The sequence below is a fragment of the Homo sapiens genome, chromosome 2 (assembly GCF_000001405.40).
Source record: "Homo sapiens chromosome 2, GRCh38.p14 Primary Assembly".
NCBI classification, from domain to species: Eukaryota; Metazoa; Chordata; class Mammalia; order Primates; family Hominidae; genus Homo; species Homo sapiens.
The window spans coordinates 128,355,127-128,380,238 of NC_000002.12; the positions used below are offsets into that span (position 1 = coordinate 128,355,127).

At 54.6% G+C, this 25,112-nt stretch overlaps 1 long non-coding RNA gene across 1 annotated transcript, besides 6 other annotated features; it reads right to left on the bottom strand.

The window, feature by feature from the left end:
* Positions 6,309-6,848: an enhancer, noted in NCBI's record as "H3K27ac-H3K4me1 hESC enhancer chr2:129119009-129119548 (GRCh37/hg19 assembly coordinates)". NCBI's record gives its function as "activates a minimal SCP1, AML or CMV promoter by ChIP-STARR-seq in primed H9 embryonic stem cells {active_cell/tissue: H9 hESC(primed)}" and the evidence as "EXISTENCE:reporter gene assay evidence [ECO:0000049][PMID:30033119]".
* Positions 6,849-7,387: an enhancer, noted in NCBI's record as "NANOG-H3K27ac-H3K4me1 hESC enhancer chr2:129119549-129120087 (GRCh37/hg19 assembly coordinates)". NCBI's record gives its function as "activates a minimal SCP1, AML or CMV promoter by ChIP-STARR-seq in primed H9 embryonic stem cells {active_cell/tissue: H9 hESC(primed)}" and the evidence as "EXISTENCE:reporter gene assay evidence [ECO:0000049][PMID:30033119]".
* Positions 7,388-7,926: an enhancer, noted in NCBI's record as "NANOG-H3K27ac-H3K4me1 hESC enhancer chr2:129120088-129120626 (GRCh37/hg19 assembly coordinates)". NCBI's record gives its function as "activates a minimal SCP1, AML or CMV promoter by ChIP-STARR-seq in naive H9 embryonic stem cells {active_cell/tissue: H9 hESC(naive)}" and the evidence as "EXISTENCE:reporter gene assay evidence [ECO:0000049][PMID:30033119]".
* Positions 11,544-12,234: an enhancer, noted in NCBI's record as "H3K4me1 hESC enhancer chr2:129124244-129124934 (GRCh37/hg19 assembly coordinates)". NCBI's record gives its function as "activates a minimal SCP1, AML or CMV promoter by ChIP-STARR-seq in primed H9 embryonic stem cells {active_cell/tissue: H9 hESC(primed)}" and the evidence as "EXISTENCE:reporter gene assay evidence [ECO:0000049][PMID:30033119]".
* Positions 12,995-13,836: an enhancer, noted in NCBI's record as "H3K4me1 hESC enhancer chr2:129125695-129126536 (GRCh37/hg19 assembly coordinates)". NCBI's record gives its function as "activates a minimal SCP1, AML or CMV promoter by ChIP-STARR-seq in primed H9 embryonic stem cells {active_cell/tissue: H9 hESC(primed)}" and the evidence as "EXISTENCE:reporter gene assay evidence [ECO:0000049][PMID:30033119]".
* Positions 19,378-20,252: an enhancer, noted in NCBI's record as "H3K4me1 hESC enhancer chr2:129132078-129132952 (GRCh37/hg19 assembly coordinates)". NCBI's record gives its function as "activates a minimal SCP1, AML or CMV promoter by ChIP-STARR-seq in naive H9 embryonic stem cells {active_cell/tissue: H9 hESC(naive)}" and the evidence as "EXISTENCE:reporter gene assay evidence [ECO:0000049][PMID:30033119]".
* Positions 21,660-23,784, bottom strand: LOC105373610 (uncharacterized). Its single transcript, XR_923317.3, has 3 exons — positions 23,675-23,784; positions 23,229-23,389; positions 21,660-21,814 (listed from the first exon to the last, which is right to left on the bottom strand). It is a non-coding gene; the product is annotated as an uncharacterized LOC105373610 (long non-coding RNA).
* Between the last annotated feature and the right edge of the window lie 1,328 nt (positions 23,785-25,112).

The window sequence follows — 25,112 nt, forward strand, 5'->3', positions numbered from 1 at the left end:
CCCCTCCAAATCTCATGTTGAAATGTAATCCCCAGTGTTGGGGGGAGGCCCGGTGGGAGGTGTTTGGCTCATGGGGGCAGATCCCTCATGAATGGCTTAGTGCCATCCCCATGGTGATGAGTGAGTTGGTGAGATCTTGCTGTTTAAAATTGTGTGGCACCCACCCTCTGTCTCGCTCCTGTTCTCACCATGTGATGGACCTGCTCCCCCTTCACCTTCCACCATGATTGTAAGCTTCTTGAGGCCCTCGCTAGAAGCACATGCTGGAGCTATGCTGGTACAGCCTGCAGAACCGTGAGTCAATTAAACCTCTTTTCTTTATAAATTATCCAGCCTCAGGTATTTCTTGATCTGCAGTCCAATGCTCTACCACTGAGCTATACACTCTCCTTTTTTTTTTTTTGAGATGGAATTTCACTCTGTTGCCCAGGCTGGAGTGCAGTGGTGTGGTCTTGGCTCTCCTGGGTTCAAGCAATTGTCCTGCCTCAGCTTCCCAAGTAGCTAGGATTACATGTGTGTGCCACCATGCCTGGGTAATTTCTGTATTTTAAGTAGAGACGGGAGCTCACCATGTTGGCCAGGGTAGTCTTGAACTCCCGACCTCAAGTGATCCACTCACCTCGGCCTCCCAAAGTGCTGGGATTACAGGCGTGAGCCACCGCGCCCAGTGCAGCCTCAGATATTTCTTTATAGCTATGCAAGAATGGCCTAACACAAGGTACTTGCTGTTTCTTTTGATGTGCCTATACTTCATGCTTTATGTAAAATTGACAACTCTGTGCTTGGCTTCTTTCACTCAGCACTACAGGGTCTCAAGATTTATTTGTGTTGTCGCATGTATCAGTATTTCATTTCTTTATATTGCTGAATAGGATTCTATTGCATAAATATACCTCATTTCCTTTATCCATTCATCAGCTGATGACCATTTGGGTTGTTTCCACTTCTTGGCTATTATGAATAATGCTGCTATTGTGCAGGCAAACTTTCATTTTTCTTGGGTATATACCACAGAATGGAATTGCTTGGCTAAATTTGTTAACTCTATGGTTAGTTTTTTTGAGAAACTTCTAGACTGTTTTCCAAAGTGGCTGCATCATTTTACATTCCCACCAGCAGTGCGTGAAGGTTCCAGTTTCTCCACATCCTCACCAACACTTGTGAATTTTTATCTGTTTGATTAGAGCCATCTTAGCGTGTGTGTGAAGTGATGTTCCACTGGGGTGTTGATTTGCACTTTCCTAATAAATGGTGACATTGAGTACCATCCACTGTGTTCATAGGTCATTTGCATACCTTCTTTGGAGAAATGTTTATTCAAATACTTTGCCTGTTTTAAAATTAGATTACTTGCCTTTTTATATTCTGGTTATAGGCCCTTATCAATTATATGAGTTAAGAATATTTTTTCCCATTCTGTGGGTTGTTTTTTTCACTTTCTTGATAGTGTCCCTTGATAAACAAAGTTTTAAATTTTGATGAAGTCCAATTTATCTATTTTTTTCTTTGGTTACTTGTATTGTAGACATCATATCTAGGAAACCATGGCCAAACTCAAGGTCATGAAGATTTTCACCTGTGTTTTCTTCTAAGAGTTTTATAGTTTCAGCTCTTACTTTTAGACTTTGATTCATTTTGAATTAATTTTTGTATGTGGCATGAGGTAGGGGTTCAAATCAATTCTTTTGCATGTCACTATCTCGTTGTCCTACTGCCTTTGTTTAACTGTCTTGGCACCTGGTTGAAACTCAGATGACCACAAATGTATGAGTTTATTTCTGACTCTCAATTCTATTCCATTAATCTATTTGTCTGTCCTTGTGCCTGTACAACACAGTTTTGATTACTGTAGCTTTGTAGTAAGTTTTGAGATTGGGAAATGCAAATCCTCCAAATATTTCCTTCCTTTTCAAGATTGTTTTGACTACTCTGAGTTCCTTGGATTCTCATATGAATTTTAGAATCAGCTTGCCCATTTCTGTGAAAAAGACCTTTAGAATTTTGATAGGAATTGCATTGAGTCTGTTGATCAATTTGGGAAGTGCTGACATTTCAGCAATAGTAAGTCTTCTGATCCATGAACACCAGCTGTCTTTTCATTTACTTTAGTCTTCTTTATTCTTTTTCAATAATGTTTTGTAGTTTTTAATGTACAAGTTTTATACTTTTGTTAAACTTATTATATTTATTATATAGATGTTATATATATATTTTAAAGGACTTTTGCTATTGTAGTTTTTCTTATGGGCACATTACTACATTCATATTGCTGTGCAAAATCAAATTTCTGTTGCTAAGGACGATAGAGGAAAGCATGGATATTTTTGTAGGCAACCAGCGGTTCCGACCACATTGTCTGCTGTAAATGAAATTCAAGAACCCTGGCTTCATTGCTCCATGATTCTGCCTGTGCTTGACTCTGCAGCCAGTCTCATCTCAGGCCGACTTCCGTCATGGCAGCAACACAGCTACCACTGTTCCAGGCCTCACTCCTGCACGATGACATGAGCTAGAGCTAGAGGAAGCACCTGTGTCTTAGAATTCCTGGCATGGTGTCCTGAGATTCAGTCTGATGGGACCAACTTAGGTCTTATGCTCACGTCTGAACCAGCCGCCGAGGCCCAGTGAATGGAATTTGCTGTCACATGTCTCACCTCCTGGAACTGGGACAAACCAAGGTGTGGGCCCCTGTGTCCACTTACTTCTGCCACTCTCCAGCACTGAGACAGAGAGCCCGGGCTGCCTGGGCATGGAAGCCTTGTTGGAAGCCTTCTTATTCTCTTTCCTGGCTTCCAACCTAGTGAGCTGAGAGCTATTGCCTCAGTGGACCCCTCACCCCAACTCCATTCTGGCAGGAGTCTGGTCGTCCTTCCCACTGTCCCCAAAGTTCAAGTTGTGTGATGACCATGACTTACTTTACCCAATGAGTACAACATGCATGTCAAATGAGGATTTGGGAACTCCGCTTGTCTTTTCCATCTTCCAGCTTTTTCAGAGGTATATTCGTGTCCTGCCTCAGACTCCTGGGCTCTCACACTTGACCTTAGGTTTTGGTGGCTGAGAGGGTGGTGGTCAGGTAGCCTGTGAATCCTGGCCCCACCATCAACCAGCTGGGCACCCTTGGGCATGTCACTTACCCTTTCTAAGCCTCTGTTTTCTCAATTACGATGTATTTTGGGTGAAGGTTCTGCCTACCTTGCCGGGCTGGGAGAATGAAATGGGATGATTTTGTAAAGGGCACTCAATACGTTTCAAGTCTCAGTAGACAGAGGTGAAGGCAATGCTCTGCCAATCCTTTGCTGTCCGTCTGTTCACACTGAGCCCTGGAAGCTGTACATGCCCCTAGTTTAATGATCCCTTTCTCCTTTCCCCATTGCTGTCTATGCTTCTGCAAATGAAAATGTAACTTTTTGACCGGGAGCGGTGGCTCATGCCTGTAATCCCAGCACTTTGGGAAGCCAAGGCGGGTGGATCACCTGAGGTCTGGAGTTTGAGACCAGACTGGCCAACATGGCGAAACCCCATCTCTACTAAAAATACAAAATTAGCCGGGCGTGGTGGCGCATGCCTGTAATCCCAGCTACTCGGGAGGCTGAGGCAGGAGAATTGCTTGAACCCGGGAGGCGGAGGTTGTGGTGAGCGGAGATCGCGCCATTGCACTCCAGCCTGGACAACAAGAGAGAAACTGTGTCTCAAAAAAAAATAATAACTTTTAATAACTAGTCACTGAAGCCAAACCATCATCATCCTCTTGGGCAAAAGGTTTATTGGCATTTAGCTTCCTTCTGACAGCTCCTGCCTATGCGGGGGAAGGTAATGCCAGCAGCCTCACACTTACCTCCTCCCAGCCTGCTTCCTCCAAGGAGAGACTGCTCAGAAGCCCTGGGGAATGGGGAGGAATATGGAGCAGGCTAGGTCAAGTCTACCAAGAGTAACCAGAAGTAAGGGCGGGATAGGCTTTCAGAGTGGACCCCAAACCCCACCGCCACCAACCAGAGCACGGGAGACCAATGAGGACCAGGCTGTGGGGCCCTCTGGGACGGACCACTCCAGCAGCATTGAGTCTCTGGCTGGGTGAATTGACACTTGGCAGGGCGTGCCAGCCGTGGTTTTCTCGCGCCTTTCTCGCCTCATTGTGCTCTGGGCAGTCTCAGAGGTCCTGCCTCTCAGCCCTGAGGCTGTTTCACACCTCTGCCATTGCCTCTTCCTGCACCCAGGGCTTGCCTTTCCTTCTCCTGGGCATGAGGGCATCCTGGCTGCCCTCTCATAGCCTGGCTTCTGCTAGCCTTCTTCGTGGGGCTCCCAGCCCCTGGACCACAGCTGACTGGAGTAGATGCTTGGAAAAAGCTTGGTGGCCGCAGCTGGGTCGGGCAGCCGCTGCACCTCGGGCCTCAGCTAGACTGCTGCTAAAGGGCAGGGATATGGCTTGATGTGTGTTCTCTCCAAGCCTCACGTTGCCTGGTGGGAGGTGTTTGGGTCAGTGGGGTGGGGCCCTCATGACTGGCTTAGTGCCCTCCTTGTGGTAATGAGTTACCATGAGATCTGATTGTTAAAAAGCGTCTGGACCTCCCTCTCCTCTCTCTTGCTCCCCTCTCACCATGGGACATGCCTGCTCCCCTTTCCCCTTCTGTCATGTGTGAAAGCTCCTTGAGGCCTCCCCAGAAGCGGAGCAGATGCTCCCAGAGCCAATTAAACCCCCTTTCTGTATAAATTGTCCAGCTTCAGGTATTCCTTTACAGCAACACGAAGTGGATTGGCCGTCGGTTTTGGGGTCAGTGGACCACGTCAAGTCTAACCTGTTTGACTCAGTCCACTCCCTTCTGGAGGGGCCCTTGCCCTGTCAGTCTGCAAACCACCAGGCTTCTTGCTGCTCCACCTGTGTCCCTGCTCAGCATGCCTGGCGGCCGTGGGACCCTGAGTGTCCAGGGCACTGATGCCAATGGGGAGATCACAGCCGATTTCACCAGAAAGCAGGGCATCCTGACAACAGAGCCCAGGCTTCCCCATGGCACCAGCGCCCAGCTGATGGCCCGTGCCCCCGGGGCCTCTCCAGGCCACAGGCTCGTCCTCTCTCCAACCCTGGCCAGACATCTTCTCCCTTCACTTGCTTGAGTCCCATCAGGGGCTCCCCAGTTAGGCTGGTGCTTCCAGAAGGTGGAGACCAGATCCCCTGCCTCCCAAGTCCTGATGGCACCTCCTGCAGTTCTTTGCACCTTGTTCAGTCAGGGGTGATGTAGTAGTGTTCTCAAACTTTTTGATGCCAGCACCCCTTTACACCCTTAAAAATAGGGAGGACCCTAAAGAGCTCCTGTTTTGTGTGCGTCTTTTCAGTGATGTGCCTCAGCTGTCTCACCAGCTGGCAAGAACTGACTGTGCACTTTCTTTCCACCTCTGCACCCAGTGATGTTATTTTGGTGGCTTAACATCGATCATGGTGAAAATATTTACACCACGGAAAGTGGCAAATACTGCATAGTGGGGCCCTATGGCTTGGAGAGCTGGTGGTTTAACATCTTCCAGCACTCCGTGGTTACAACTGTGTTCACTACATTAGAGTTTAAAACTGATAAATTTGCAAAACACGGGAAGACAGAAGCACACGTTTTGTCAGCCATCAGGGTGAGGCTGCGTTATGCATCAAGAGCCTCTGAAAGCCCCCTGGATACCTCTGTGAGAAAATGCATGAGAAAGGCAAATCAGGGCTCCGTGTTACTGTGAAAGTAAGTCCGGTCTTTCTGATCCCTGGAAAGATCCTGAGACGCTGGGGGGTCCCCCAGGCCGCCTTTGGAACATCGCTGGTGTAGACTCAGATGTGGGTCAGGCTGTCTGCTTCATTCTGTGCTGGCTGAGTGACCTTGGGCAAATCACACACCTTCTCTCAGGGTCAGTTTCTTCATTGTGAAATGGAGATGATGGGGTTATTGAGGTCTACAGGAGAGAGACTGCAGAAAGCCCCAGGCAGAGCTCGGCCCTACAGAGGCTGCTCCGCCATTGCAGGTCTGCTCTGTCCTTCCCAGTCTCCTGCCCCAATGGCTGGAGGCCGCTGGGCAGAGCCCAGCTGGTTTTGCAGGAGGTGATACAAGTGTGACACCGTGTCATTCATACAATGCCCATCGTAATTTTCACAGTATCATGGGTATCTGTACTGTTATGGACTGAATGCTTGTGCCCCCCAAATTCATACATTGAAGCCCTAACTCCCAATGTGAAGATCTTAGGAGGAAGTGGAGCCTTTGGGAGGTGATTAGGCTTAGGGGAGGTCATGAGGCTGGGTCCTGACCTGATGATGGGATTAGCGCTCTTCTAAGAAGAGACACGGGAGACGATCTCTCTCCACCATGTGAGGATACAGTGAGAAGGTGGCCACCAGCAAACCAGGAAGCAGGCCTTCACCAGGCACCACATCTGCCAGCACCTTGATCTTGGACTTCAGCCTCCGGAACTGTGAGAAACACGCATCTGCTGCTAAGCCTCCCAGGCTGTGGTACTACCTTAGAGCAGGCAGAGCTGACCAGATAGCTCCCTGGGTGCATGTGCTTTATGGAAGCACTTCAGCAAGGGTGGTGGGGACAGCAGTGGTTGCCTTCATCCTGAGAGACAAGCTGAAAAGAGAATTGAGGGTACCCTGGGAGGTGAGGAGGGTCCTCGGTGGAAACTGGAGGGTCATGCAGGTAGGGGGCACGGGCCTTCCATCGCGTGGTGGCCCAGACTGATGTGCTGCTCTGTCCCCAGCTTCCTTGAGCAGGGAGAGGATTAAAGCGGGGCCAGGGCAGAGCCAGACACCTCTGTCCATCTGGTGTGTCCAGGAGGCTGGAGCTTCCTGTGAGTGCAGAGTGCACCACCGAGCGTGGCTGACCTGGTGCTGTGCTGTGGATGCACCCAGGAGGGCTGGGATCTGGCAGGCTTGGAACCTTGTCGGGTGTATCCTCAGGGGAAGAGGCCACCCCTAGTGCAGTCCCTGGCACTGCAGCCCTAAGCCTCTGCTCTGCCCTGAGACAGGAGCGTGGAGGGGAAATGCACATTTAACTAGACTCCAGTGCACGGACACCTTTTCTTCTGGACTGGATTTTTATACTTGGATGTGTCTAAAGAGAGATTTAACACATATGGCTGAAGGCAGTGATTGGAGGAAAAATAAAATTGTTTTGCACTTGAGCCACTGAGATGAGATTCTTAGGCAGGCTCACCGCACGTGTTTAACCTCCCAGCTCCTCTAGGCCCTGTGCAGAGTGTGGGAGGGCTCAGTCCAGGCAGGAGCTGCTGGAAAGATGCTTTTGTCCTGCCTGCTGTCCCCTGTCTGTCGTCCTGTCTACCATCCCATCTACTGTCCCCATCTGCCGTCTCCATCTACTGTCCCCTGTCTGCTGTCCCATCTACCGTCCTCTGACTACTGTCTCCTGTCTGCGGTCCCCTGTCTACTGTTCTGTCTGCTGTCCCCTGTCCACTGCCCCCTGTCCCCTGCCTGCTATCCCCTGTTCCCTGCGTGCAGTCCTCGTCTGCTGTCTCTTGCCTGCCATCCCCTGTCTGCTTTCCCTGTCTCCTGTTCCCTGTCTACGGTCCTCTGTCTGCCATATTCTGTCTGCTGTGGCCCCTGAGGGCTGGGCCTTCCTGAAGATCATGGCGTTGGGATGGTGTCCCCCAGGGCTGCATTACCAGCGATGATTAGAGCCAGTGTTCCTCCTTGGAGCTGCCCCACTGAGGCCTGCAGGCAGCTCTGGGGGTGCGCAGAGGAAATCTATGTGCTAGGTTGGGGGTGGGGCAGGAGTTCCACCCTGTCTTGGGAGGGTGGGGGGTGGGTTTTCCTTCCCAGACCACCCTGGAGCCCCAGCTCCACTCTCTGACTCCCAGGAGGCTGAGTGAGCTGCGGTGCAGGCAGAGGCCTGAGAAGGGGCACATTTTTGAGATTCCAAGCATGTCTGCATCCTTTCCAGACTCAGCTCCGGGGAAGGCAGGAGCGGTGCGGAGTTGGTGGCTTGGGCTCCAGTCAGTCTCCACCCCAAGCGACTGGGGTGGGGCTTTCCAGAATGTTGTCAGATGAAACTTGCTCCACAGGGGACTCAGGAAGGGGGTGGGAGACTTAGGCCCCAGGGCGTGTGGTACCAAGGAAAGGGCACCAAAAATGATGCTACTTAATTTGGAGACCAAAGTGTCATGGAAAAGTCTTTGTTTTTTTTTTAGATGGAGTCTCACTCGGGTCACCCGGGCTAGAGTGCAGTGGCACGATCTCAGCTCACTGCAGCCTCCACCTCCTGGGTTCAAGTGATTCTCCTGCCTCAGCCTCCTGAATAGCTGGGATTACAGGCGTGTAGAACCACGCCCAGCTAATTTTTGTATTTTTAGTAGAGACAAGGTTTCACCATGTTGGCCAGGCTGGTTTTGGACTCCTGACCTCAAGTGATCTGCCCGCCTCGGCCTCCCAAAGTGCTGAAATTACAGGTGTGAACCACTGCGCCCAGCCCAGAACATCCTTTTAAAGGAGATTTATTTGGGATATCATACTGAAACACTAAAAGTAACATTTTTTTAAAGCTCTATTTTAACTTAAATTTCGGGTATGATGATACCTACGCATTAACAAAGATAAGGTGTGTGTGTAAGATACTAGTGACACAGTGGTGAACTATGAATATGTCACTGGACATCTGGTTCTTGGGATATGATCTTAGAAAGGGTTGCTCAATTTCTTTGGACCCCCAGGAGCCTTGAACCCAGGTTGGTGGCCTGATGCCCCTACCACTGGGCCTGTGCCTGCCTTCTCACTGTGAGGGATTTCCTCCTCTTCGGCTGGCCACCCACCTATCCTGCTGAGCCCCCTTTGCAAGGGCTTGGAGCGTGAGGGGAGTAGCAGCTTTCCTGGACTTTACCACGTGCTGCAATTTTCCTTGTAAGATTGGCTGTTTCCCTCCACGAAGTCTCTGCAGAGCGTGCGCATTGTGCAGATGGGTAGTGAGAGAGGCTGGGATGACGTCTCACCCCTGCACCAGCGGGCTGTCTTGCCATCACTGCAGACACAGCAGCATCTCCACTCCTTCCTGCCCGTCCTTGCCTGGGGGTTGGTGGACTGGCATTCACTGCTGGAGGGGAGCTGCCTCATTATCAGATAACAAGTTTAAAATGACAAGAATTTGTTTTTCTCATGGAAACAATGGACAGCTGCGTGGGGGCAGTGCGTGAGAGGTTCTTTTGTGAGAGGGGCTTCCTGAAACTTGACCTTGGTTTTTCCGCCCATCCATGGGGAAATGGGCAGTGAAGGCTTGGAGGAAGAGGACTGGGACCTGCAGTACCTCTATGCCTCCATGCTCTCCATCCTCTGTGTCTGGGCCAGGCTGGCGCCAACTGGAATACCACTCTAGGAGCCCTTCTCCTCTTGCTCCTTCCAGGCCCGGCCAGGGAGCTGGAGTCCCATGTGGCTCAGGCCCCACTTGAACATGGCCGCTCTCCATGGGGTTGGCCCCGAGCAGCTCCCTCGGCGTGGGGGCTCTGGCGCCTCTCCACCTGCAGGTGAGCCCGGGAGGGTTGTCTGCAGCCAAAATCAAGTGTGCATTCTGTGCCAGGCCCTGCCCTCTCCAGCTGGGCACATGCTCTCAGGGCAGCTGTTATGAGACCCCCACACTGCCCCCACCCATGGCCCTGGGCTGGGCTCCAGGCTATAGCCTGGTGACTGCCCTGCCCAGTGCCCACACTCCCAGGGCCCCAGACCCTTGAAGACACCTTACCCCTGCACCAGTGGGCTCCCTTGCCTTTGCTGGAGACACAGCAGCACCTGTGGGCCACATCTGTAGGATGCCACATGGCCACTCCTTCCTGCCCCCCTGGCCTGTGGGTTGGTGGACTGGGGTTCACAGTGGGAGAACAGCATGTGGGAACCACATTATTATGGGGTAACAAGTTTAAAATGACAAGAATTTGTTTTTCTCATGAATCTTCAATTTGGGCTTGGCTAGGCAGAGACTGCCCCTCATGGTGTCACTGCGAGCCCCCTGACGGGGCCAGAGGGTCTCTTCCAAAAGGACACACTCGCTTGGCAGGCTGCTGCAGGCATCACCTGGGAGCTCATGTGAGCGCAGGTCTCTTCATAGGCTTCTTTAAGGCAGGGAGGCCGGTTCCAAGAGCGGGCATCTCCAGAAAACCAGGAAGCCTTAGAGGGCGCAGCACATCACTTCCACATGGGATATTGAGTGGAAAAGTCACAGTGGCTCCCTCAGGTGCGAGGAGTGGGGACACTGGCTCCACCTCTTGATGGCTGAGTGGCAGGGATTCTAGAAGAGCCCGTGGAATGGGATAGGCTATGGCTGACAGTTTTGGGAACGATCTGGCCGGCTCAAGGCTGCCCTGCTCTATTCATACCTTGTGTGATCCCCTCCCCTTGACTGTGGGCTGGACTCATTGACTCACTTCTGATGGACAAAATCTGGCAGAGGAATGGGGCATCACTTCCAAGATTCAACTATGAGAAGGTTGTGGCTTCTGTCCTGGGTGCTTTCTCTCACTCTGTCAGGTCACTCATCCTGGGGGAAAGCTGGCTGCCACGCTGTAAAGGAACCTTGCAGAGAAGTCCACACAGCAAGGGATCAGGCCTCTCAAAGCCACAGGGGAGCACTTGGAGGCTGATCCTTAGCTGGTCCTCCGGATGAGGCTGCAGTCCGCTGACAACTTGACTGCATCCTCCTGACCGACCTGGTGAGGGGCTCCCAGCAGAGCCAAGTTCAGGTTCCTGACTTGTGGAAACCGGGGGGTAATGAACTTGAATTTTTTTCAGCTGCTAATTTCTGGGTAGTTTGTTACAACACAGTTGATAACACAAGTGGTTTTACTGCAGAAAGTGGCTTGAGGCTGGGTGTGGTGGCTCACATCTGTAATCCCAGCACTTTGAGAGGCCGAGGTAGGTGGATCACCTGAAGTCGGGAGTTTGAAACCAGCCTGACCAACATGGAGAAACCCCATCTCTACCAAAAATACAAAATTAGCCGGGTGTGGTCGTGCACGTCTGTAATCCCAGCTACTCGGGAGGCTGAGGCAGGAGAATCGCTTGACACCGGGAGGTGGAGGTCGTGGTGAGCCGAGATCGCGCCATTGCACTCCAGCCTGGGCAACAAGAGCGAAACTCCATCTAAAAAAAAAAAAAAAGAAAAGAAAGAAAGAAAGAAAGAGGCTTGAACCCATGGCACACACGTGTGTCTTTCCCACCCAGAGAAGATGAAGGCCATTTCGTCACCTGACCTCCTCTTGCTTTTGCCCACCATGGGTCATAGTGACAGGGGTGAAAATTTCTCTGCATGAAGAAGAAAGGAAAAAAGGGGGTAAAACTGCATTTTGGTGAAAAGGATTCCGTATCAGCAAGGAGGTGTTTTCACTGAGATCCTGGCTCTCCACCAATTTGTGTTTATTCATGCAATCCACCCAACATCTGCTGGGCACCACCCCTGAGCGAGGCAGTGCAGGGGACAGAGTTGGCTCAGGTGACATGCTGGGTTGTGGGGGTTCCCCTTGAGGGATGGACCCTGTGGTGTGACAGAGAGACATGGGCCTTAAATGGCCTCCCAGGGTTGTTGAAGAGGCAGACATGGATGGGAAAATACCTTGAAACGGGCACCTGTCCTCCAAGGAGTGATGAGCTGAGCTCTTAGAAGTAACAGCTGGCATTCACACTCTGTGCTCTAGTTCACATTAGGTTCATAGGCAGGAAAGACAGATCCGAGGGTGGGGCAGGGCACATGCCTGGGTGCCTGAAGTGGCAGGATGAATGGGGACTGCAAGGGAGTATTGAGTGTCCCTGCAGTGGGAGGCCTGGCACTCTCTTCCTCATAGCAGCCTCAGGGCCTGTGTCCCGTGGAGCACAGCCTCTCCCAGCTCAGGAAAGGGCCAGAAGGCTGGTGATCACACTCCTAGCAGCAGGCTGCTGGGGACTGAAGGCTGCATCTCACAGCCCCCAGGGCCAGGAGCCTGGCCGAGAAGCCCACCGCCTGAATCAGCTCGCCAGCTGTGTTGTCTTTGGTGGGGGACAATGTGGGGAAAGGCACTGGGGAAGCCAGAGGAGTGTGTGCTCATCCCCCTACCTCCCTGAACACCTGCCTGGGAGCTTGGGCCAGTGAGGGCTGGTCCTGGGCCCAGCACCCTTCAGCTAGGCAACCAGACACTGCTAGGGTCCTGCCCTGCAAATGAGACAGCTGTGTCTTCCCTCCTCGCTGCAGCCCCCCTCGGTGTCCATGAGGCCCTGAGATGCCTGTTTCCTTTGCCAGGTCCCTGAGTGACTCTCGCCAGGAAAAGGCTGAGCAAAGGCAGTGGGGAAGGGCCTGGGCTCCCATCTCTTCTGCCCCCTGCATCTTCTGGGTGTGCTGCCTGCTGGGTGCAGGAAGTGGGGGTCCACTCCGGGTTCCTGGTTCTGAGATTGTTGTTGTGTCCTCAGCCTACTGCAGCCCCAGCTGCCTCGTTTCTTGGGTGCCGGGTGCATGAATACAATAAGAATAACAGCACTCAGCCTCAAAGATGCCTGCCCTGCACAGGGGCTGCCCGGAGGCTGGCCCACCTTCGCAGTCCCACTTTACAGGCAGGACAAGAGCCTGTGAGAGGAACAGCCTCTGCCTGCCGGCACACAGTGGCAGCCTGGGCACTCAGTGACTGCGCTGGGCAAAGAAGCTTGTGCTGGTTGCAGTGCTGGTCTTCGTCAGGTTCCGTGCCCGTGGTCGATCCATTGCCAGCACGCACAAGGCTGAGCCCTTGGTGGCGCCGCCAATCTGCCCACCCATCTGGGAGGCTAGGGGCTCCATGCCTTCGAGGTAGGAAGGGGTGGGTGTCCTCAGGGCGCTGGTTGTTCCGAAAGACTGGCTGTGGGCCCTGGGAGATGGCCCTGGGTTTGGGAAGCCCACGGGGGCACTGTGAGGGTGCAGAGGGGAAATGAGAAGTGTCTGAAGGGGAAACTTCAGAAGCGTCTTCTCTCCCTCTCTCCAGATTCTGAGAGAATGAAGGCTGTCTAGGGTGACCATCCTACAGAGGAAGGCCGGGGCAGGAGGGGCATGGGGCAGGGGTGTGGCTTCCCACGGGTGCCTGGGGAGAAGGGACCAGTCACATCTGGGGATAGGTCAGGATCATCGGGAGGGCCGGTGCGCTATGCACACGGGGAACACATGTCCCGCTTCCAATTATCAGCAGCAGTGTAAACATGGTGAGGTCTTCATCAAAATACAAAAGGAAAACTTGGCAAGTAACTTCCTGGTGCTTTGGTGGTGCCATGCTTGTGACCACCACACTGATGTCAAGAGATCTGGGTTCTACTTGTGTCTCTACCCGAAGCCAGCCTTGCATCTGATGCACTGTGGCAGGGTTGGCAAAAGCATGGCCTTAGCACTCATAACACTAGGGCCCGCCTGTGCCTGTGGCAGGCGTCGCTCATCCACCCCAGAGCACTTTTAGGCTGCACTGACAGGCAGCCTGGGGACCCTTCTCAACACGCTGCTTCGGGGAAAACGACTGAGGTTTTACAGCATGAGGTTGCTCACGGCCAGGCAGGAGCCACTCATTGGATCCTTCAGGCCCCAGCAGCCTGCCTGGCAGGGGCAGGCCCTTTGGAGACGCTGAACTGCCGCGCGGCAGGGCTGGTCAGTTTCCTTGTTTCATGCAGCGAGGATAATTCTTGCCTTGCTACAACTGAATCGCAGGTTGCCTTTAAGGTGGCCACGAGGGAGCAATTGTCCATTGTCACAGCTGCTTCAAGCACAGCAGTGCAGATGGGGCTTAGACCTGTTTGCTGCAGGTAGACTAGTGGCACGGATGGCCATAACTGCTAACACATGGGTGCTTCCTTCAAGCCAGGGCCTGCCTGAGTGGTTTTCCTGTGTGCTCCACTAAATGGGATGATGTCCATGAGAGACGGGAAACAAGGCGCGGAGAGGTGAAGCGACTCGCTAAGGTTCTGTGGAGGCAGGAGGGCAGGTAGAGAGGTATGTGTAGGGGCCCACGCTTGCCTCCTCCCAGGTCACCAGGGCCTTGTCCAAGCACCCAGAACTTTCTGACCAAAATGGTGCTGATGCTGGCCCGGCTGCTCAGGTCAGAGCCCTGGGCCAGGCCCCAGCTTGTCTGACTTGGTGGGGAGGAGAGAGATGGATGGGGATTGGGTGGGGTGCAGGACTGCAGCTGAATGTGGCCGCCAGCCTTGGGGGCGGTTCCCGGGCTGGGATCCGGACACAGCTCGGGTTTCTCTAGGGGAGGTTCGTGCCTGCACTTAGCAAGAGCATTGTTCCCAACGAGAAGGGCTTTTTATGTAGGTTCCCTGGGAAATCAGACAAGTCCAGGCTCCCCGCCGTGTGTCCGCACTCCCTGCAGGCTGGTGGGAGATGCCTGCCCATTTCTTAGCACTGGAGAAAAACACGCTTATAAACAAAACAAGACAAAACAAAACAATGTTATTGTTTCCTCTCCTCCTTTGATTTTAAAAGTAATACATGCTCTTTGCAGAGACTTTGGAAAATACAGAAGAGAATAAAGAGCAAGTGACGCCAGTGGTAAGCCCCCAGCCCGAACTGACTGTGGGGGCAACCTCTGGCACACAGGAGCGAACTCCCCATGAGCTGACCTTTCTGACCCATCCATTAGGGCCTGGTCGGAGCCAACCGTGGGAAAAGCCTGCCGGCAGGGCCTGGGAGGGGCAGGCATTGTCCCACACCCCTCCCACCCCGTAAATCCTTCTCAGCCGGAGCCTGCAATGCCCCGTGGGAAGATTGATGGGGACATTGAGCCTGTGGCTGTCCCTGCCCTGGGACACTTGTGATTTAATTCCTGCCCAGACTGAGGGAGCTTCTGAAGCTGTTCTTTGCAAAAACAATACCATTCCTGACCCTGAGAAGGAGGAGAGTGGAGAGCTTGGGTCACCCTCCAAGGTGACATGTAAGGTCAGGGGTGGCCAGAGGCCAGAGCCTAGCTAATCTGTCTGGCGGGAGGCGTCTCTGAATGACGAAACATTTACCTTCCTGCCACCATTCAGACCGTCCCTGTGGAGGAGGCCAAGGGGTGCAGAGGGACTCCCCGTAAACAGGGGGATGGACGCCCCCACCCCAGAGCAGGACACGTCTCTTCCAGCCTCCTGTCTGTGCTGTTGCAGTTTTGGAAGAGTCTCCCAGAATCTCAGGGAAGGAAAATTTGCACATTGAAAATGCCTCCATTTCTGATCTCTGCAGGGAGAGACTGGAATCTATAGGCTCCTCCTCCAGGAGGGGCTGGGGTCTGAGGAAGGGCTGGCTCCTTGGAGCCAGGTAGACCCACATTCTGGGCCTGATGGCCACTTCCTAGCCCCGTGGGCTTGGGCTACTTCCTTCCCTCTGTGAGCTTCAGTCATCTCATCTGTAAAACGGGAATGACCATCACGCTGCCTTTATACAGGAGGCTCGAGGCCCATCCGAGATGGCACAGTGCCCCGCCCATGCAGCCGTCAGGCCCCAGCAGTTGCAATATTATCTACATGTCTCATTGGCAAACACGTGATCTCATTTCATTCCATTGTACTGCTGGACAGGAATCCTCAGTTCCCGCGGATGGATGAGGAAAACGAATCTCAGGGAGCTGGAGCTGCTTGCCCGAGGTTCTGTGGTCAAGACTCAGGTCAGGCTTGAACCTGAGTCTGGTGACCTCAAGCCCTCACCTCTTACCCCCTCAGGATTGAATCTTCTTTTTCTGCACCGGCCTGTGGCCTGGTTGGCCTCCCAGGTGGCCCCCAGCCCGGTGACTGCACCTCCTGTGACTTGCATGGCAGTGGTGGGCTTGCTGGTCTCAAGGCCCGATGCGCAGGTGGCGGGGCAGGGTGGTGGACAAGCTCTCTGCCTGCTCAGCTGCACACAGCGGCCCGGGGCCGCCCACCACCCCAGCTCACCACAGGCCACACGGTCACATCGCTGTGCGGCTGCCCCGGCCAAGCTCACCGTCCTCCTTCTCTGGTCCCTCCACCCTGCCTCTTCTGTTCCTAAACTGTCTGTGACCTCAACTGTCCTCAGAGTTCTTGGGATGGCCTGGCAGGAGGGCAGATGGATAGGGTTGGGCTGCCTGCTCCACTCGACCAGGGAAACTTGGAGTCACCTCCGTGGGGCATCCCTTTCTCCCTGCTCCAAGACGGCTTTTCATCCTAACAGTGAAGTTGTTCTGGGAGGTGCACTTGTCAGGAAATAACAGCCTCTCAGCAGAGGGCAGCTCTTTGGGGCCCACATCAGAGTCCCCATTTCCCTGGCCTGGTGTCCTTCCCACGATGGCCGTGGCCCCTCCAGGGATGGCTCCAGGACTGGCCTAGAGTGCTGGTCCTGAAAAGCTCCCCCAAAAGCCTGGCGGGCCAGGGCCTGCAGATAAATTCACAGCCTGGCGGGGCCGGGGATCTGGAAACGTCCCCTCATGCCTGGGCAGGCTTCCTCCCAGGCCTCTGGGCACCTGTGGCTGTACGCCCATGGGAGGAGGGGAGTCATCTGCTCTCCACTGGCGCTTTGTCTTCTCATATACAGTGGACACATATAGTTCTTCATTATCTTTAAAAATATATGTAGCAAGAAACTATATACAGGGTCTTGTGTGTTAGTTAAAGGCATGACAATGACATAGACACGGCTGCCTCTGATTGTCATGGGTGTAAGGAGACACAGCTGGGGGACAATGAGGGGATGTGAGATCTGAATCTGAAACTGACTTCTGGCACTGACTACCTGTGTGGCCTTGGGAAGGTCACAGCTGCTCAGACCTGTGTCAACTGAAAATGGGTACACCAAAGGTTCAGGGCATCGTTGAGTAATAGGTCCTAAGACACCTGCAGAGCTTTTCTGTTTTTTGGCTGGGTGGGGGGAGCATCTTGGTCTGTGTATGCTTGTGAGTAGCGGGCACACAAGGTGCGTGAAGATGCAGGTGCTGGGTGGCTAATGTGGTGTTTGTCACCTGAGTATTAGTAGCTACCCTGCAGCAGGGTCATCCGGCCCAGCCTTGGTGATGTCACTGTCTCAAGGCACCTTTGATTTCTGCCAGCAGCAGGGAGGGCCATGCTGTCTCCAGGGGCTCCAGTGTGCTGGGGGCCAACCTTGGGTGTTTCTCACTTGGCGGCTGAGGAGGGCCCCCGCGGCGTTCCCAGCCGGCCGTCTGCTCAGGTGCTCACTCTGTCTGATGCTCAAGGATAGCTTGGCACAAGAATGGAATAAGCACTGCCTTTGCCTGGTCTTTCTGGATGCTGCTTCCTGGGCCCCTTTCCCATCACTTGCCACCTCCCTGCTGTCCTTCAGAGCATGGCAGAGCACATGGTGGCCATTCTCCCATGATGCCTCCTTGCAGCCATTGCTCTGCTCTTTGGGGGCTTGGAGTGTCCGGCCTTGGCCATAAATTACACACATCTAGTAATTTTATGAGAATTTATGAGCTCCTCTTTTGGCTGTGAACACACAACTCCCTTTTTCCTCCTCTGGAGCTGTGAGGTTGGCAGGCTGCACCCAGCTTCATTAATTCCCAGAATGTCAGCAGAACCTGTTGGGATAAGTGAAGACTCAAATATGTAGTTAAGAAATGGGAGAGGGCCATGGAGTCTTCATGGGGAGATGGGGCACAGCGTGCCGAGGGGACGCGCGTGTCTGTGTGCTGCACGTGCTGCAGGGGCCTGGATGCAGCAGGCTGGGGCTTCAGGACTAAGGTCCATGTGGCTGGGAGTGAGCCATGGTGGGTAGAGTGTGTGTGTCGCCCCGCTCACCTGGGCTGCAGCTGCCTGCCGCCCTGCGCCCTGCGTTCTTGCATGGGAACGTCATTTCTCTTGCTTCCTTCCCCTCATCTGTGCAGTCTGTTCTGTGGTTTCACACCTATGGCTACCTTGAAGCTTGAAGAAGGTAAATGAGGGCTGCGGTGGGACCCTGCGGTGGCACCGCGGCCGTGTTGGGGGTCCTGTTCCTGTCTGACATCCGGCAGTTTTTGTCCGCTGGTGTGGGGTTAGGGGAAGCCAGGGCGGGAGGAGCCACTTGCTCCTCAGGTCTCTGTGGGTATCGGGTAAGGCTGTGGGGACTGGGGGCCCAGGAAGGCTCTAGGGTTCTAGTGAAAGGAAGGGCCTGGAATCACTCACCCCCTGCCGCTGTCCCCTTTGGCTGCACCCCCAGAATTGTCCTTTGCACTGTGTGTAATTCTTAGATTCCTGTCCCATTTCCCAGTTCCGGGGGGAGCCCTGAGTGAGCATGTGCAGAGCGGTGGTCTGCATAGCAGTTGCTCAATGTTCCTTTATTGGATGCGATGCCAGAGGCCTTACCTGAGTCCAGTTCCCTTCAGCAACTTCCACCAAGGCCCTCCTGGGGCTGCTCCTGTGCCAAAGGCGTCACCCCCCCCACCCCACCCCACCCCCACCCCACACACACACAGCCCCTGCCAATCTGCACGGTACCTACCGGCTGTTCAACGCACCTCCTTGAGACCCTGCCCAAGCCACGGGCAGGAATTTGGAAAGAGTTTTCCAGGGCCTTCCCGAGCTTGCTCTTTCCCACTGTCTTCAGGATTTCCTCCTAGGCTGGGTTCCTCCAGTCCTCCACGGCTGTCCCAGGGATGTGTCTCAGATTCAAGTTGGAGCACGTTCCTCCTGGAGGCTAAAGCCTGCTGTGGATCCCCACTGCCCTCAGGGTGAAGCCTGTGCTCCCTTCCCAGCTGCAGGTCTTGGCCTTTCCATTCTCCCTGTCTTCTCACACCTTCTGCTGCAGCCAAGCAAGCTGTGGGGTGCACTGAACTGGGGAGACTGCTCTGTCCCCTGACCCTTCACTCACACCACCCTCTCTTCCTGGAGGACTTCGTAATCTGAAGAGCTCATCCTGGTGCTACACTTCTCTCGGAACCCTCTCCTGGTCCTCCTGGCAGGCCGGGTGCCCACCTTTTGTGCCCTGCTGGGTTCTTGCAGACCCCACTGCTGCCCCCGGGCATGCTGGTACATTTCCTCATTCGCTGGTGTGTCTCCCACAGGGCCCTGAGCTCCTTGAGGCGTCTCGGTGTCGCTGGAGCAAGCTGTGGGGCTGACACACACTTGGACACACGCATTGTCTGGCCCTCCATCCACTGCACAGACTCCAGCAGGGCCCACAGAGTGCTTGGGTGGTGCCTGGCCTCCCCTAGCAGTGGGCAGCGCTGCGGCAGGGCTGCGGGCAGAGGCAGCAGGAGCACCAAGGGCAGTGAGGGAGGTGCAGGCAGGGCAGGCTGGGGCTGCTGGGCCCCGACAAGCACTGTGGAATATTTGTGGCTGCCTAGGCTTTGAGTGGTGGTTGGAGAGGAATTGTAAGCATGCGTGCCGTGTAAACACATGTCACACTGAAATGCGCTGATGGGTGGGGAGTGCTGGGGTGGGGCTGTGTGGCCTCCCTCTCTGGCTCTCTGCTTTTGGGGGAAGTCTAACCTGACAGCAGAGGCCCAGGTGAAAGCTTTTCTTCCAGGAGATGATGGGTACTGGTTATGGGCTAGGCCCAGCTAGGCACAGGGCTGGGCATGGGGCAGATGTACCCACTCGGCACCCCTGTGGGGAATCCCGTCCACTTGCTGCTCTGCTCAGAGGGGAAGTGGAAGCTCCCACAGGTCAGGAGAGGTGGGACCAAGGTTCACACCTGGCTGTGTCTCTTGTCCAGCCTGGAGACTTTCCCTCAGATCATACCACACCTGGCTGAAGAGGAGCTGACCGTGGAGCCAGGCTCCGTCACCCCCCGTGATAGTGCATACCCTCAGGAACCATGCACAGTAGAGGGGCTCCGAGCCATCGGTCCTGGAGACCCTCTTCTAAGGGGGTGCCCCCGCCCCTGGCTGGACTGCCAGGAAGGAGGGCGCCTGTCTGTCATCCAAGGAGCAGGGTAGGTGGGTGGGGGAGAGGGGGTGGAGGCACAGGTGGTGCAGGGGAGGTGGTGTATGTGGCTTCTGGGCTGGCATGCCAGGGACATCGCAGGGCAGCTGGCGCTGGGGAGGGTGGCAGGAAAGCAGCGAGCTTTTGCATTTCATCCAGCTTATCCATTTTAAAGCTGGGACTCCATTTCTGTTTGCCCTGTAGACTTTCTCACTGCACCCCATACCCTCCCCTCCCTCCCCTCTCACCCTGTTGAGTCCAGAGTGTCGCCCCCAGCAGCGCTGGCTCAGGAGGCTGCCAGCGAGCCGTGCATGGGCCCAGGAAGGCCGTAAATCAAGCACGGCGGCGCACTCTCCATCTTGAGGAATTTGGAGGAAAAACAGATGGTTGTAGCTGGGCGACATTTACTTTCTGTCTGTCAATATTTGAGAGGTTTTATTACTTTGCAGTGCCAGGTTTTAGAATAAATTAAATGGCTAATGGAAATATTAAAATAGAATTAATTTAACTAAACAAATACAACTGGGAGAGTCAGTACGATTTGTTTAGAAGTTACTAAATTTATTTTCAAAATGAAGCCTCAGGGAAGGAAATAATTCCTTACCCCCTTGTGTCGGACCTCAGCCAGACAGACTTCACCAGGCACTCTCTGGGGGCCAGGACCTGGGCTGGTGTCAGGCAGCAGCTGGGCTGGCCTGGACAAGCCTGCCCGGGTGCTCACAGCCTGGCAGGGGAGACACGCACAAGCCCCAGCCTTGCCTGGGCTCCCATCAGGGACTTGCCAAGCACATGCGCAGGGCTGGGAGGTGGCTCTGGGGAGGCTGGACTCTGCCTGCCACATCTCCGTCCCATCCCCCTGTCCCTAAGCGCCTGAGGTTAAAGATTCAGAGGATACTTCAGTCCTATCCCTGCCCTCAGTGAGCTCACAATTGAGGGAGGGAAGCAAGAAGTTAACAGGTAACAGGCAAGATGCAGTCAAATGCCTCTAGCATTCTAGTGATGCTAGAGACATGCTCAGGGTGTGTTGGGAGAGCATAGGCCAAGATTTTTGTGTTTTTTATTAAAGAAATATTGATTTGGTGCCCATTTTAATGCTTTGAGACAAATATGGAAGCAATTCTTTGCCCAACAGCACTAACTGCCTCATGATGGCCATGCCTTTTTGCCAGAAACTCCACCATTAGAAAATCTTTTCTTAGACTACAGCATTGCCCTCTGTGTGTCTTTTACAATGCAAGTGGTGGGACCATCTACGTCCCCACCCTAATGCTTTCCTCAGAAGCAGAGAGGTGGGCCCTAGAGGCTGTGGTTCTTGAGAGGGGGTGAAGGTGCAGAGTGGGGAGGTGGCAGTCCAGAAGGTGGGAGGGAGCTGGCCTTCATCAAGGGTGGTCCAGGGCGTCTTTATTTATCACTCACGCAGTCCTGCCCTGGGCTGGGGTGCTGGGAGGGCCCAGTGATGTCTTCAGACTTCATCCCACATGGATGAGGACCCATGGGCAAGTGGGCCAGGGCGGGGAGGCCTGACTCACCCTCCAGGAAGATGAAGAGCCCTGCTACTCTGGGCCTGGGGCACTTCAGGTGCTCAGGATCACCCTCAACAGTCCTGGAGGGGCCTGGGCCTTCCTGTTTCTCCGGCACACTGCTGCCCCTTTGGGGAAGGACCCAGGAACGTGACTGGCCATCCTTGCCATGAGGTTGCAGGGCCTTCCTCCCAGGGACCGCCCTCTCCTCTGGCCGGTGCCTTAGCACCTGACACCAGGCGAGGGACCCACTGGCTTTCTAGAGCGCCTTTGCCCTCAGTGTCCTGGCTGTCTGTCTCAGTCGCTTAGTGTCGCTACAACAAAACACCCAAGGATGGGTAACTGATGAGGAACAGACAGGTCTCCTCTGGCAGCTCTGGAGGCTGGAAGTCCAGGATCAAGGGGCTGGCAGGTTGGGAGCCTGGTGAGGGCTGCTCGCCACTTCCAGGATGGCGCCTGGTGCTGAGTCATCCGGAGGCGAGGCACGCTGTGTCCCCTGCAGCAGAAGGTGGGAGAGTCAAGCCCTTTCATAAGCACAGTTAACCCCACTCGAGGGGGAGGAGCCCCCCAGCCTGGTCACCTCTTAAAGGCTCCACCTCTTGACAGGTTCAAGCTTACTGGCAATATCTGCACTTTGGAGGGGACATGTTCAAACCATTGTGTCCTCCAACCTTGATTTATTCTGATGGCAGACCTTAAGCGATTGCCTGGCTCTCGGCACTCGCTGGCCACTCAGCTCTTGTTCCTCATCATGCACTTATGCCTGCTTCTGGCTGTGGCACTGCCACCTGGCCTCCGCCAGGTTGGGCTCCTGTCCTTGCCCCTGCTGCTCACAGCCGAGGTCTGCAGCAGCGTCTCCTGCCATCAGCCCAACCTGCGAGGGCCTCCAAGAGTGCGCCACTCACCACTGGGGCCTTCTTATGGGGGTGCGGGACATCCCCCTGCCCTTCCTGGGAACATGGAATATGGTGGGTTTCCTTCCTATGCAGCCCATCTGCTCAAGCAGGCCCACTTCTGAGAGCCTCTGCTGTGCCTCTGCTGTCTGCTGTGGTAATGCTGGCATTTCCACTTCTCACAGGCCCTCGCTTCTTGCAAGCTTGCAGGAGCCAGGAGCCATAAGCATGAGCTCTGTAACCCGGGTCCTTTCAGGAGGCTAAAGCCCTCCATGCCAGCACTTCCTTCCTTACCCGTGGCTCTGAACCATGATGCGGCACCCCCAAATGGGCATGTATTCCCCTGCTACGGCATCTCCCCTAGCCTTGCAGCCCTCTGGGAACACAGGGAGGTGATCTTGTTCTTCCTCTCACAGACCAGCACCTTCCCACTGGGGTGTGCCAGCTGTGATACTGGTTGTAGGAGGGAGGGGGCACTTGTCTCCTCTGGCACCGCCTGGAACCTGCCTCATTTGAGCCGCTGCAGGCTCTTCAGTCAGGTGGGGCACTGTCTCTTCATAGGGGAGGGGGCTGCCCTGCCCTCTCCTCTTGGCGGATTCCAGGATCTAGGAGTTGCACCTCTAAGTCTCCACATCCCTGGCCTCGAGTCCCATTCTTTGCACATTGGAGCCCTGAATGTGTTGTGGGGAGTATGCCTGGGCTAGAATTCCATTTTTTCTGAAGCGTGGTGCTTGTGCAGTCGGGTCCTGAGCTCACTCTCTGCTCTCTGTCCTTGGCTCAGATTAGGGCTTCCCTCAGTGCTGTCAAGGAGGCCCCTGAGATTTCACCTTGTGCCTTGAATGGGTCATTGATCACCCTAAGCCTGTTTTCATTTTCAGTGAATTGGTGACCTCAGCCAAGTGCTGTCCAGTTCCCTGGTCCTATGTGACTACTTCTCTCAGGGCCAGCGATGCTGCCCTGGCCCCTGCGTCCTCCTCTGCAGGTCTCCCGGCCCTGCTCACCATGGGCATGATTCACCTTTTATGCCTTGGCAGCACCCAGAGCTCTCCAGTCTCCATCTCCCAGGAGTGGCGGGTCTCCATTGCCCCCGGGCTGGTCAGAGAGCCGGCTCCAACATCTGCCTTTGGAGTCGGCCTCCCAGGTCCGCTGCCAGAGCTGACTGTCCTAGGATGGGTTTCCTGGAAACAGATGCAGAGCTGGAGAGTTGGGTGGGGTGATTTCAGAAGGTATCTCTGCAGGGAAGCTGGCTGTGGGGCTGGGCAGAGGGAGGCTCTGGGCAGTTGAACTGAGGCTTTGGCTGGTCCTATGGCACTGAGAGTGGGGACAGCCCCCCAGAGCTGTGCCTCATGAATGCAAGGGGCTAGGCCTTTGGACCGCTCACCAGGCAGCCATGGGCCTGCAGACCAGCTCTGGAAGGGGCTGCAATCTTGGGCGAGGGGCTGCCGGCGAGGCATGCTTCTCACCTTCCCAAGCAGCTGGCTGGCACGGGCTCGCAGGAGAGGAGCTGCTCTCTAGATGCTGAAGAGTGGCTCACTTCCAGGAGGAGGAAGGGTCCAGCTTGTCCACTGCTGCTGAGGAGCAAGTGAGATGTGGACTGGGACTGTCCCTTGCTCCAGGGGAGGGGTGGGGCTGGGCACCCGAGCGGAGAGGTGTTTGGAGCAGGTCACCCCAGATGCTGAAGGCTGGTTGTGGGTGTCCTCTGTGCATTATGTAGGGGCCTTGCCCAACCTCGGGCTTCAGTGGACAGGACAACTCTTTCCTTTTGTTTCCCTTTATGTTCCTCTCTCCAGCCCACACATTCCAGGAAGATGGGGGAGGAGGAAAGGCAGAACAAAGCTACCAGGGCCAAAGAACATTGTGGTCTTAATTGAAGTGTTCAAAGAAACAATCCTGTCGGATTTGAAGCTGTAAACAAAGCAAGCTTGCACTCTCCCCGCCCTCTCGTTTACCCACGTTATCATCCTTCCCCCCTCTCGCCTCCCTCCTGTCCATTCACTCCTCCAGCTGTCTGCACGGGCCTGTCTGCAGCCAGCAGCCAGCTCCGTGGGGGAGAGGCTGCGCTTCCATGGGTGCGGGCGCTGGCTCTCCCTTCCCTGGGCTGGACCCAGCCTGTCTGAACGATGGCACAGCTCCAGCTTTCCTTACATCAAGAGAGGAAAATATTTTGGAAAGGGGCTAAATAGAACTTAATTTGCCATGTGGTTGGAATTAACAGAGAGCACTTCCCACCAGCCTTTGAAGGGCTTGGTGGTTGAGGCCTTGCTCTCTCTGCCTTAGTTCAAAGCCTCGTCGTCAGGGCCTGTGGACATCCCAGGCTGGGCCGGAGCCCGCATAGCACATTGTGGGTAAGTGTTTGCCTTCAGTGGCTACACTGAGGGGTGGCCGGAGCCCTGGAAAGCCTTCCTCCTCACGCTGGCAACGCCTCCCTGAACTTGCAGGAGCAACAGCTCGGGGCTCAGTTTCTCCAGGAAGGCAGACATCATAGAGAGGTGTCCAGGGACCCCTGGTGAGTGTGACTCACTGGGGCCTCAATCCAGACCCTCTGGTTTCCTCTGTCTTGCTCAGGTCTTGCTCCCAAACAGCTAGGAGCCCCATGCAGCTCGCAGGGGAAAAGGGATGTGGCGAGGAGAAGGGGGCACTGCAGAGAGCACTGGTCAGTGTCATTAAAAACTCATCCACACACACTTTAAAGCCCTGTGATATTGCGCCTTAGGGATCCACTGTTGTGCACCGACCCGCCTCCTGCTGCTGGGGGCTCCGGCCGCTTCAAGACCCGAGCATGTAATCGCCTCTTAGATGAGGTTCCTGGAGGCGAGCCTGCTGGGGTGAGGCATGAGTGCTGTCGCTGTGAACCTCGCATGGCTATGAGTTGCACACTCCACCTTGGCGGCTGAGTGCCAC